The 13,537-nt window shown below is 35.7% G+C and overlaps 1 protein-coding gene across 20 annotated transcripts in view; it reads left to right on the top strand.

The window, feature by feature from the left end:
* The window catches only part of OSBPL8 (oxysterol binding protein like 8), a 207,975-nt gene that overhangs the window by 148,121 nt on the left and 46,317 nt on the right, over positions 1–13,537 (top strand). For all 20 annotated transcript variants that reach the window (NM_001003712.2, NM_001319653.2, NM_020841.5 and 17 more), the window contains 3 exons: positions 1,017–1,087; positions 8,885–8,962; positions 11,677–11,778. In NM_001003712.2, coding sequence (NP_001003712.1) covers positions 1,017–1,087; positions 8,885–8,962; positions 11,677–11,778 — 251 coding nt within the window. The remainder of the gene's footprint in view (positions 1–1,016; positions 1,088–8,884; positions 8,963–11,676; positions 11,779–13,537) is intronic.

Raw genomic sequence — 13,537 nt, 5'->3', positions numbered from 1 at the left:
CCTTTTTTTATATCATATAAAATTTTCAGTAAAATATCTGATTAAGAAAATGGAACAGTTTTTTTTAGCTGTTACATTAATAAACCAAATGCAGAATCAATGGTATTATCCTTGATGTGCTAGAAGTGTTTTTAAAATACTTTAGGCACTGGTACTACTTGACTTTTTTAAAAATGCTGCTTTATGAATGATTATACATATTTTAAAATATAGGCTTTTATTGGACTCTGAACAAATAATTATAGGGAAGAGTTAATAGTACCTGTCCTCAAAAATAGAAAAACCTCATTAAAATTAAAATGTGTACTGCTCCTTTTATACCTGCCACACAAGTCTCAATATAATTGTACCTTTGTAATAGTAATTTGTTAATTGGTTTATGCATAGTGCTATATTAAAGTGTTATATGATTGCAGGAGTATATGCATGTTTGTCTCACTGCACTCTTGTATTTAAGATTCATCCTTTTAGAATAAGAATAGAAAATGATAATAAAGGTGAACATTAATTGAATGTATGCTATGTGCAAAAACACTATGCTAAGTGCTTTGTATGTATCTTCATCTAATTCTCACCATATGCACATTATAAGATTTTTAAAAAGTCAATCCAGATTTATTTCCCCAGTCTTTCATCACCTCGTCTGAAATTGTTTTCCATTTTGACCAGAGGTATGAAAAGTATGTTGAGTTGGTTCCGTGAGTTAGAATTCGTTGCTGGAAACCAGCTCACTAGAATAAAAGCTCTATAAGCGCTGAATTTATGCAGAGTTCTGCAGGAGCAAAGAAGAGATATTTCACGATGTTGGTGGGTTCAGGGAAATACTTCATTTTTTCTAAGCCTTAGTTCTAAAGGATTATGCTAGATATGACCCTCTAGAGATCTTTAATAGTTTAAAGCTGTGTGTACAGGCTTCCTGCACTGATTTATATCAAATATAGTCTATACTTGAAAATGAATGACTTATTATACATGTTCAAAAGTAGTAATACTGATATGCTGACTATTTTTTTAAGGTTTTGAAAGAGGGAAGGAAGATATTTCTCAAAATAAAGATGAATCTTCACTTTCTATGTCAAAGAGCAAGGTAAGCATATATAAGCAAATACATGATTATGACATATTCTTAATATTTGAGATGAGGGAACTAACACTGAAATCCTATGAAGCTTTTTTGTGATGTTTTTATGTTGATACATCTGAACCATGTAGTGTGTATTAAAAGAGTGAAGTTCCATTGGGGCTAATATAAGTATTGTTGGCTACTTAGAAATACAGCTGATTGGTAACCAGTTTTCCTGCCAGAGTAATACTGTTTCTGGTATCTCTGCTATAGCAGCACTTCTCAAACTTGAGTCTGAGGATTGCATTCAGATATATTCTCAGGGTTTATGGCTTTAAAAAAAAAATCTTAAGTGTTTTGAGTTCATTCAGATGACAATCAAAATACATATATTTTACCAGTTAAAAGCCAGAGCTTTGCAGTAGTAATTGCCTACTATTGACAGACATTTTCTTAGAATAAGACATAGTTTATGAATCAGTATTTCTGAAACTGGGATACTTAGACACATTCTTAGGCCTGTTAAGCATTTTTTTTCTTGAAGAAAATTCAGATTTGAGAAACGCCATGTGATGCAGTAACCAGTTTCCCTATGGGTTTTTAGTTCACTAGATTTTCTATAATTTGTGAAGGAATTCAACTTTTGGCTGTTCTTTCTGGTAAGATATAGTAGCAGGGGAGCTTTTATGTTTATGGAATCAAACTTCAATGACTGTAAGATAACTGTTTCTAAAGACTGAATTCTCTGTTATTCTCAGCAGTTGGGCTTGCTCTTACAACCCACATTTTTTGCTCCTGTTCTTGAGAGTGGTTGAGAGGCTTGCACAGTATGTTTTTATGTATGATTTTACATAAATATTATTCCCACTTTTTATGTATACATTACACAAAAGTTCATCTATCATATTAGTGTAAAGTACTTAGGCTAGAAGTTTAAAAGTACTTTGTATTTATATAACATGTATGAGAAATGCCTGGATCACCAATGGGAGAAAATATTTCTTTCCCCATTGCAAGGTTCATGGCTGAGATCCCCATAACAAAAGAAAGATGAACAAGAGAAAAGCATACACATTTATTTAACATAAGTTCTGTGTGACACAGGAGCTTTCAGAAATGAAGACCCAAAAGAACAGGGAAATCTGTGTATTTATATGCTTTGGTTTGATGAAGAGCAGACAGTCACAGAAGTATGATTGGACAAAGGTTGAGGGGTATTATAAGATGCTAATACACTGAGGGGAATTTAGCAAGGCCTGTTTGTTCAGCTTCTTCTTGGTATCTCTGTGTGTTTGGATTCTTTCTTCTAAGGATAGGTAGAGCACCTGCTTCAGGGCAAGGTCAGAGAATTATATTGTGGCCTGCTTCAGAGCAGAAAGGCAGAAGGTCAGAGAGTGACCTTTCTGCTTTTCAAGTTTTCTCAGTTTCCTTCAGCTTAGAAGAGTCAGTATGCCCCTATATTTTCGGGTAGTGAGTTTTGAGCCCTGTCAATCATTTTACATGATCTGTATTATTAAAGAAAGTAGGAAATAATTTATCTTAGGTCTGCCACAGCTAGAAATACAATGAGATTTATAGTTTTTTTTTTAAAAAAAAGATCTATTTTCAAGCAATTAATACCAGAATTGGTGAATACATGGTATAATGGTATTCGTACTCAAAAGCCTAAACACCTAAACACAAAGACCTACATACCACAGCTACCTATTTGCCATCTATGTGTACCCTTTAAGGGGGAGGCCTGAAAAGGAACTTTGCATACCTTAAATGAAGCTGTGTGCCTTAATGGGGGGCGGGGAGGAACCCACAAGCTTTAGAACTATGCTTTGGGTACAGTAGCATCTAGTCATATGTGGATCCTTAAATTAATTAAATGTAAATAAAATTAGAAATCCAGCTCCTCAGTTATACTAGTCACACCTTAAATGCCCAGTAACCACATATGGCTAGTGGCTGCCACACTGGACAGCTCAGATATAGGACATCTGTCATTTAGAACGTTCTACTGGGCAGCACTGCTTTAAAGTGAAGAGTCAATTTGAATCTTGACTCTCCTATTACCTATAAGTTTTTAGCTGCTAGTTACAATGATATTAATAGCTACTTTTTTTTTTTTTTTTTTTTTTGAGAAGGAGTCTCGCTCTGTCACCCAGACTGGAGTACAGTGGTGCGATCTCGGCTCACTGCAAGCTCTGCCTCCTGGGTTCACGCCATTCTTCTGCCTCAGCCTCCCGAGTAGCTGGGACTACAGGCGCCCGCCACCACAGCTGGCTAATTTTTTTGTATTTTTAGTAGAGACAGGGTTTCACCGTGTTAGCCAGGATGGTCTCGATCTCCTGACCTTGTAATCTGCCCGCCTCGGCCTCCCAGAATGCTGGGATTACAGGCGTGAGTCACCGTGCCCGGCCATTAATAGCTACCTTTTTTTTTTTTTTTTTTTTTTTAAGAGATGAGGGCCTCACTATATTGCCCAAGCTGGATTCGAACTCCTGGGCTCAATCAGTCCTCTCACCTCAGCCTCCCAAGTAGCTGGGACTGCAGGCACATTGCCATCATGCCCAACTTAATAACTACTTTTTGTTGAGAGTTTACTTGGGCCATTTTAACGTTCATAACAATACTAGAAGACAGGTATTATTGGCCCCATTTTATGAATGAACAAACTGAGGCTCAGACAAATTAATTCCCCAAGACTCAAAATAGTAAGTCTTAAAACTAGAATTCACAGTGGCTTCAGTTTTCTTTTTTGTTCACGGGAGGTAAGATCTTACCTCCCAGACTGTGGTGCAGAAAGTACCTGACAAAGAAGCTGGTTAACAGTAGATAGTTAAGAATTTATTTTCTTATGAATAAAGCATTAGAGTGAATGAATGGGATTCTTAACATAACTATTTGGTATATAAGTAAAATTATACTCATCATATTATTTTCCAAGAGCTGAAACTTACTGATTTTCTCATAATTTAGATTTAATCTTAGTTTATTCTGTTAGCTTAAGATGTCTATAGTTGCTACATTGTCTTTAAATATTTTAACATTCTGCTGGGTGCAATGTTTCATGCCTATAATCCCAGCACTTGGGGAGGCTGAGATGGGAAGATTGCTTGAGCTCAGGAGTTTAAGACCAGCCTGGACATGACAAGACCCTGTCTCTACAAAAAATACAAAAATTAGCCGGGTGTGGTGGCACATGCCTGTGATCCCAGCTACCTGGGGGGCTAAGGCAGGAGATGCTTGAGCCCAGGAGGTTGACGCTGAAAGTGAGCCATGTTTGCGCCACTGCACTCTGGCCTGAGAGACAAAGTGAGACCTTGTCTCAAATATATAAATTTGTGTATATATATGAGCATGCAACCAACTCTCTTGTTTTTCAGAACAGTTGTAAAATTTATACATTTATCATTAAACCTCATACTTGTGGAATTCTGAAGATTTTTATTCTTATCTGAGTAATTTTGGAAAACAAGATTTATTATTCCTTTCATGATTTAAGTTGTGTAACTGAGGACATCAAACAATTTTAACTTTTCCCAACTTGATGCAAAAAATATGAATACTCTCATTTTGGTCACAGGATTTTAGGTTAAATGTTATTTCTTAAAATTCATGATTGAGCCTGATTAACACAATGAATTACACCTGCCTCATCCCCAAGACATTATTTAAAAATAAAGGAGCTGGGCACAGTGGCTTATGCTTGTAATCCCAGCATTTTGGGAGGCTGAGGTGGAAGAATTGCATGAGCCCAGGAGTTCGAGACCAGCCTGGGCAACCTAGCGAGACCTTGACTCTACAAATCAAAAAATTAGCCACACGTGGTGGCATGTTCCTGTGGTCCCAGCTACTCAGGAAGCTAAGGTGGGAGGATCACTTGAGCCCAGGAGTTGGAGGCTGCAGTGAGCTGTGATCACACCACTGCACTCCAGACTGGGTGACAGAGTGAGACCCATCTCAAAAAATAAGGCAGTTCCTCTTTCTCATGCACCTTTTCCTAGGCTTTTTCATTGTATGAATGAGTGAATTGGAAAAGTCGGTTAATCAGATTATCCCAAACAAAGTAGCATTTTAAAATGAATTTTTAATTATCCATCTCAACCAAAGGAATTACAACATAACTAATGTGTCTAGTGGGATAAAAGGAATTCTGTTAAAAGGATAAGGAGTTTTTGAGCTCACATCTCTTTAAGTTGATTTTTCAACCGTTTAACTATTTGCCTTGTAGGTTTGCTAAATCATCTTTTACTTGCTTTAAAATATACATTTACCTGGATAGTTAACAAACCTTTCTAAACCAAAATGTCTGATGTGATCACAGTAACTTATCATTATCCTTGTTGTTCCTTGTATCTGTAGCATTTTGTAATTTTCAAAGCAAATTGCAAAGTATTTTCATAAATAAATGCCCCATTATTTAAATCTCTAAAGGTCAGATTTTTGATAGCACCTGCAATCTGAAATATAGTCATAAACCTGAAACAATATATTACCAAGTACTAAGTTAAACACTTTAAGTATCATTTAACCCTCAAAGCAACCCTATAAATTAGTAGTAGTATCTTCATTTTACAGATGAAGAAACTAAGACTGACAGGTTAAATTAACTTCTCAAAGTCACAGAGCCTGTAAGGGGATAGCAGTTAAAGGGGAAAATAAAGAAGAAAAAGAGAAGGAAAGAAGTAAAAAATATATAACATGCTAAACATTCTAATGCCATTTAACAAAGAGGGAAGCAGTAGTATACATTAAACCTGCCTATCTTGATGGTCATCATTAAGAGAGTGGTCAATAAAGTTTATGAAGGCAGGGAAACTTAGTTTAGTAAACTATCCCCAACAAAAAAATCGTTTACATTTTTGGCATTTGAAAGGTGTTTTGATTCAGAAAACCGAGGTAGTAATTTAGAAAAGACTGTGGAACTTGGTCATTCCTTTTTGTATTACAGAACTAGACTGCACGTTATGGCAGAGATTCCTTGAGATATGTGAGTTAAAGATTCCTTGAGGGCGGTTTACCAAGCTCATGTGACACCCTTCTGACCTGCTGGTCCCCTATGTACAGTAATCTTTTAGGAATAACCACGCTAGAGCTTATCATATAGAATTGTTAGGGAAACAAATTTGATTTTTTTTAAGGCAAGGTCTCACTTTATCATCTGGGCTGGAGTGCAGTGGTGCAATCACTGCTCACTGCAGCCTCAAACTCCTAGGCTCGGGTGATTCTCCTGTCTCAACCTCCCAAACAGCTGGGACTACAGGGACACACCACTATGCCCAGCTAATTTTTTTATTTTTCATAGAGACGGTGTCTCACCATGTTGCCCAGGCCGGTTTTGAACTCCTGGGCTCAAGCAATCCTCCCGCCTTAGCCTCCCAAAGTGCTGGGATTACCAGCATGAGTCACCATGCCCGGCCACAGATTTCTCCTTGTTCATAAAGATAGATCTTAACTTTAAGATACCATATGAACAGTTTTAAAAGGTAAGAAATTAATATAGTGAGATAACTAAGAACATGAAGCTGGGAATTAGAGTAGGGTACAAATCCCAGCTCATCCACTTTGTAGCTTTGTGACTTTGGAAAGATATTAATCTGTTAGTTTTAGTGTCCTCATTAGTAAAAGAGGGATACAACTACTATCTCCTAAGTTTGCTTTGAGTATATAAATATTTCGTATATACAGTTGATCCTCGAACAACATGCAAGTTAGGGGCACTGACCCTGCCCTCCCCTGTGCATATAAAAATCTGCATATAACTTTTGACTCCCTAAAAACTTAACTACTGTAATTGTGTACTGTTGACCAGAAGCCTTACTGATAACATAGTCAATTAACACATATTTTGTATAGGTATTGTATACTGTATTCTTACAATAAAGTAAGCTAGAGGAAAGAATATGTTATTTAAAAAATCATAAGAGAAAGTATATTTACTGTTTATTAAGTGGAAGTGGATCATCAGAAAGGTCTATCTTTGTTATCTTCACATTGAGTAGGCTGACGAGGAAGAGTTAGTCTTGCTGTCTCAGGTGGCAGAGGCAGAAGAGGCGGAGAAGGTGGTAGGGGAAGCAAGAAAGGCAGGTACACTCAGTGTAACTTCCGTAGAAAAAAAATCTGCCTATAAGTGGACCCACGCAGTTCAAACCTATGTTGTTCAAGAGTTAACTGTACTTGGTAAATAGTAAACAACCATGAATGTTCATTAACTTTTAAGCTAATACTATTAGTATTTTTTATTTAATAGTTTCTAAAAAGTACACTACTATAAACATTGTCCTATTAAGTTGTGGGAAGTAGAATCTCCTAATAATTTTAAGCCATCATATTCTTCTGACAATAGCCATGCCATTTTGTGTTCCCAGGGCCAAGGAGAAGACAGAAACCTGTTTGGCTTGAGGAATGTTATGAAATTGTTTTGGTATCACAATATATGCCATCATCATTGGAGTAATTAATGTGATGTTTCAACTCCAATTCTTAAAGGAGTAACTTTCCCAAAAGTTTAACTAGGTTGATTTCTACATTGAGAATTGTTTGCATTTCCCTTCTGGTTCAGCCAGTTAATACCATCACCTTAATAGCCCATCTTTCATACCAAGTAGCAGAAGTGTTTTTAGGAGAGATGAGAGAAATGAGCTGCAAGTACCTATTTTATTTTCATTTTATTAATTCGTTAGATATTTACTAAGTTCATTCTTTTCTTCGGGTGATACACACTGGGTATCATTGACAAATAAATGTGTTATCTGTTCTTATTAATCTAAAAATTGAGGGAGTTGTATACAAAGGTGTGTATCCTTGATGATATCTAGTGGTATTATGCACATCTGGCCGCTCAACATTTGAAAGCCACCATTTGAATCAAGTTCTGTATACTTTCTTGGCACTGCTTAGGAGTACTGCTAAGAACTTTAGTGCCTTTTCTTATGTCTAACAATAGATAAAAATAAAACTTATGGACATTGAAGGAGTATGTTTAATTTTGTTTTTCCAAAATAAATAGAGCTTTTAACTTTTGTGCTTTTCTACTCTGGTAAACCTATGTGGTCTCTTTAAACAAGCATTGCATTAGGAAACCTGGGTTCTGATCTCCGCAATGTTAATGATTGTTAGTTTGGAAAATCAACCTTCCTGAGCTTCCCTTTCATGATTTGTAAAATGGAGATTAAACAATCTGTTGTGCCTATTTTTCAAGATTCTTGTGAAGATTAAATAAAAATGTGAAGTGTAAACTGAAAGTCTGGAAAGAAATTTAAGACATGAATAATTTAGTGAGGAAATCCTACTCACTCGATAGGTAGGAAGTAGTAGATCCTAGAAATATTGGTGTTTACACGCTGTACGAATTAGATAGAGTGGCTTAATACTAGTTTCTAAAGGTGTTTGTATTTCTTCCTATTGAAGGAGGAGTAGAAGCAGGGCAATATGTGCATCAGCTTGTTAGAATTTGTGTCTTTGTTTGTTTTTAGAATATTTCAACTATTAAAAGATAACATTGCTTTGGCTACTTTTGTGCTAAGAATAACTAAATAATTATATATGTTCTTAGAAATACTCTTAAAAAATAGAATGTAAAATCTACAGATGATCTTATTTAACTTCACATTGTAGGTTTGTATACTGATTAGTTTTAACTTTTTTATATTTATGGATTTAACATGGATTCATTTTTAAAGACATATAGGGAAAATTCTATTGAAAATTGACATTTGCTTAAATCATAGCAATAAATGAGAAAAATGTCACATAATTTTAACATTAATTTTTATGCGACGTGTAGAAAATCTGAAGGATTTAATTTCTCTTGTTTCTGTATGATTTCAGTCTGAATCTAAACTTTATAATGGCTCAGAGAAGGACAGTTCAACTTCAAGCAAACTCACAAAAAAAGAATCTCTTAAGGTTAGTTTCCAGTTGTTTCTGAAAGGTAATTTACATTGTGCTTTGCATGTGTGTTTGGAAGTAGACTAATAGGATAAATATATATGTGTGTTCCTAAAGAAAGAAAAAACATCCAGTGGTACAGACAGGCAGGCACACATAGAAAATGTTAATATTTGTATGGTACACTGTGGTCAACTGATAAGATTGATTGATGACTGTCACAGAGCAGACTGCTTTAGGCCTCAAATGGCAACTGCAGAGGCTGAGGATGTGTTATCTCTGTACAGCTGTATCCAAACTAGGTATATTATCACTATGTTGTGGAACTCCTAATGGGAACTCTGGCACCCATTGAAATTAGAGATTGCTAACTCCTGGGTCATGGCCTGAACTTGACCTGCATAATGTTTTAAAATTTTGACCCAACAGTTAATTAAAAGTCCAGATTTCCAATTTCTCTGAGAAATATGTAGCACTGGGCTTACCTTCCTGAGTGGCCATAGAATCTGGAGCTTAAGAAACACATGCTTTCCAACTGGCTCTGGTTCCTAACTAGTCTATTTTACCATTTGTGTTCCATGCCTGGTCCTATATATATTTGTATTTGCATCCCATATTAAATCAGATAGGTTAATAAAGACCAAAATCTAAAGTTTTGAGGGTATAGAATTATTAAAATTGTATTATGTCTAGTCTGTTTATCATTAAATGCAACTTTTCTGGTGGAAGATTTTGTTAGTTTTTAAAAATGTAGTCACTAATAGGTTATCATCACTCTTTTCCCATCCAAATTATAACAACAAAGCAACAATAAGACCTCATTATTCACTGCTAATTCCTCAAATTATCAGAATTAACTTATGAAGGTGAAACTTTCATATTTTGGATAAATTAATTTTATAGTTATGGTTTCTTAATTATTTATAACTTACATATTAGTATTGGGAAAGAGAGCAAAACTTCCAATTGCAAACAGTTGTGGCATTCTTTGTTATTTGAAAAAATTGGTAACAGAGAAGGTTTCTATCAGTAAGAGAATATATTAATAAATATTATAGAAGCAGTATAGGCCAGTGGTTAAAAAAATAGCTTTGGGAGCTAGTTTGCCCCTGTTTGAATCCTGACCCTACAATTTACTAAATGTGTGATTCTGAGCAGGTTACTGTCTCTGCCTCAGTTTTCGTGTCTGTAAAATAAGGATAATAATACTTCTACTTCACAAGGTTGTTGTGAGGATTAAATGACGTAATGACAATACAAGTAAAGTGCTTAGAACTGTGGCTGGTTCACAGAATGCCCTCAGGGTTAGCTCTCTTATTATTTTAATTTGCAGTTGGAATCCTATGTAACATTTAAAATAATGAGAATGATACAGACATGAATACTCTTCAAAAAATGTTTATTGGGGGACCTTTTTGCATGCTGAACACAACATCTACATGTTTCTATAGGTTGTTACTTAGAAAAGGTCTGAAAAGACAGTGTTTTCCAGAAGGTTAACAGTCATCAATTCAGAGGATTGGAATAGGTTGGGGGTATAATAAAAATGGGTTCTAGCTTTATGTTTGAAATTTTTATTGTGAGGCTGTGTTTATGCATTGTGTAATTAAAAAGAGGTAAAATTGGCCAGGTGTGGTGGCTCACGCCTGTAATCCCAGCACTTTGAGAGGCGGGCGGATCACTTGAGGCCAGGAGTTCAAGACTATTCTGGCCAACATAGTGAAACCCCATCTCTACAAAAAATACAAAACTTAGCCAGGCATGGTGGCATATGCCTGTAATCCTAGCTGCTTGGGAGGCTGAGGCACAAGAATTGCGTTGACCCAGGAGGCGGAGGTTGTAGTGAGCTGAGATTCCGCCACTGCACTCCAGCCTGGGTTACAGAATGAGACTGTCTCAAAAAAAAAAAAAAAAGGTAAAATTATTTAAAAGATACATAGAACTGGACTAGTGATCAGAAAAACTAGATTCTAACCTTGGTTGTCTAAGACTAACTCCTGCTCAAAAAAAAAAAATACAGTATTTTTATTGTAAGATTCTGGAATTCTACAGCGGTTTAGACTTTTCTACTCCACCATTATAGTATGAAATTCTAAACCTCTTTAGAATACTAGATTAGGATAAAAGACAGTGTGGTGATTCCACAAAGACCTAAAGACAGAACTACCATTCGACCTAGCAATCCCATTACTGGGTATATAACCTAGGGAATGTAATCATTCTGTTATAAAGACACATGCATGTATATGTTCATTGCAGCACTGTTCACAATAGCAAAGACATGGAATCAACCTAAATGCCCATCAATGAGAGACTGGATAAAGAAAACGTGGTACACCATGGAATACTATGTGGCCATAATAAAGAATGACATCATGTCTTTTACAAAGATATGGATGGAGCTGGAGGGCATTATCCTTAGCAGACTAACTCAGAAACCAATACTGCATGTTCTCACTTAGAAGTGGAAGCAAAATGATGAGAACACATGGACACACAGAGGGACACAACACACACTGGAGCCTTTCAGAGGGTGAGGGTGGGAGGAGGGAGAGGATCAGGAAAAGTAACTAATGGGTACTAGGCTTAATACCTGAATGATAAAATATGTACAACAAAACCCCATGACACAGGTTTACCTATATAACAAACCTGCATTTGTACCCCTGAACTTAAAATAAATTGCTCATTTCTGTTGAGTTTTTATCTTTTCTATTATTTCTATAAAATAGGTACAAAAGAAAAATTACCGAGAAGAAAAGAAAAGAGCCACAAAGGAGCTGCTCAGTACAATCACAGATCCTTCTGTTATTGTTATGGCTGATTGGTTAAAGGTCAGTGTGTTTTGAATCATGAATTCAGATTGCTGGATGTTTACCTACTGGAATGGAAAAGCCTGGAGTATACCTAACGCCTACAAGACAAAAACAGCTCCTAAAATGATTGTTTTTCACTGGCAAAGAAACTATTATTGTATTCCCGGAGGTTCTGTGTTCCCATCTTAATGAAGAGAAGGAATCTTAATGTCTTTCTTAACAATAGCATCAATTACATACAGTATAGTTCTTTTAAAAAAGCTTTTTGGTTTGTGTGATATGTTGTCTAATACAATATGCTGTAAAAAATACATTGCTTGCTATTCCAATTATTGTTAAGTATTCCATATACTTGGTATATTATTGAAAGGATGAGACAAACTTAATATAAAAGCTATTTTAAAATAATCAGTTGGATACATAATATATTGTTAAAAAATGAAAATTGTTAATTATCAGACAAGCACACATTGCTGTTTCCAGACCCTATTCTTTTGGCCTCTGGTTATTTTTCTTTCCTTTTCTTTCATCCTGGTCACTCTATCCTCTTTCTCATTCTTATCTGAAAGACAGCTGTAGGAATCCTGAGTTTAAGAGTGATCTCGTAGGACTCTGACTCACAGAAAATTTTAGTACTTGGCATGTACCTGAGAATCACCCCAACCCACTTTTGCCAAGACTTACTAAGGCCTCTGACCTCATAATCCTTATGAAATCTGTCATAGGACTCCCCTCACTAAAATGAGAGTCTAGTGATAGTTTCCCTGACAATTCAGTTAACTAATTCTAGGGTTTTCGATCTTGTGCTAATAACACCTTCCAACTTGTTTTGACTCTACTTAGAAGTGCATTAGCTCAAGATCTCACTTAGGTTTTTCAGAGTTAAAGCTGCCCTCTGTTAAGTCCCCAACACGTTGCCTGGCCTGGCTGACTTTCTCTGCCTTACCTTCCTTCTGATAATTTGTCCTCCATGTTCTGTTGCATCTCCATGATCCAAAATGTTATTTCAGGGTACCTATCTCCCTTTCGCCTCTCTTGTCTTACCATTCTTTTACATATACATGTATCTTAGATTTTCTCTTTTCTTCATGCCTGGCTCCCAACTCCTTCTTTCTAAATGTTTCTTGTTGAGAGTTACTGTGATACGCCTATTTGGGGGATTAAGGAATCCTGTATTATTTCATACTTCATGTAGGTGCATTGAAATAACAGATGTTTTACAGTAAAAGTATAATTCTTATTTTTGATCTAAATATTAACATCCTTTCACTATTTTGAATTCACTGAATTGCATAGACACCATTTTAATAGATGATGGAAATAGAAATTTATAGAAAAAGTAGTTTTAGACTTACTATTGACATAGCATTAAACCCTAGGATGAAGAACATTTTATGAGAGTATAGGGATTCATGTAACTTGATTTTAAAATATCCTCCAATAAATTTAAATGGCATACTTTATGTAATTACTAGGAACAAAGTAATTTGAATAAGGTAATTTTAGGGGCTAGGAGGAAGTTATTTTCTCTTCCTACCACTCACCAAATACTTAGGGAATGCCTAGTGTGTGCCAGCAGTGTTTTCAGCACTGTTGATGTGGTGAAGGGGAAAAATTGTTTTAAGCAGAATCATCATATGCACACAAATAAGATTACAGCCATGATCAGTGTTAGAAAAAGAAGAATATCAGTACTAAGAAAGCATATTTTAATGGCCCCTGACCTGGTCAGGGAGATTAGGAAAATTATCCTACTTAGTACACTACTTTGAAACTG

Source organism: Homo sapiens, chromosome 12 (assembly GCF_000001405.40).
Source record: "Homo sapiens chromosome 12, GRCh38.p14 Primary Assembly".
In the NCBI taxonomy this organism is placed as follows: domain Eukaryota; kingdom Metazoa; phylum Chordata; class Mammalia; order Primates; family Hominidae; genus Homo; species Homo sapiens.
This window is presented reverse-complemented; position numbering and strand designations above follow the sequence as displayed.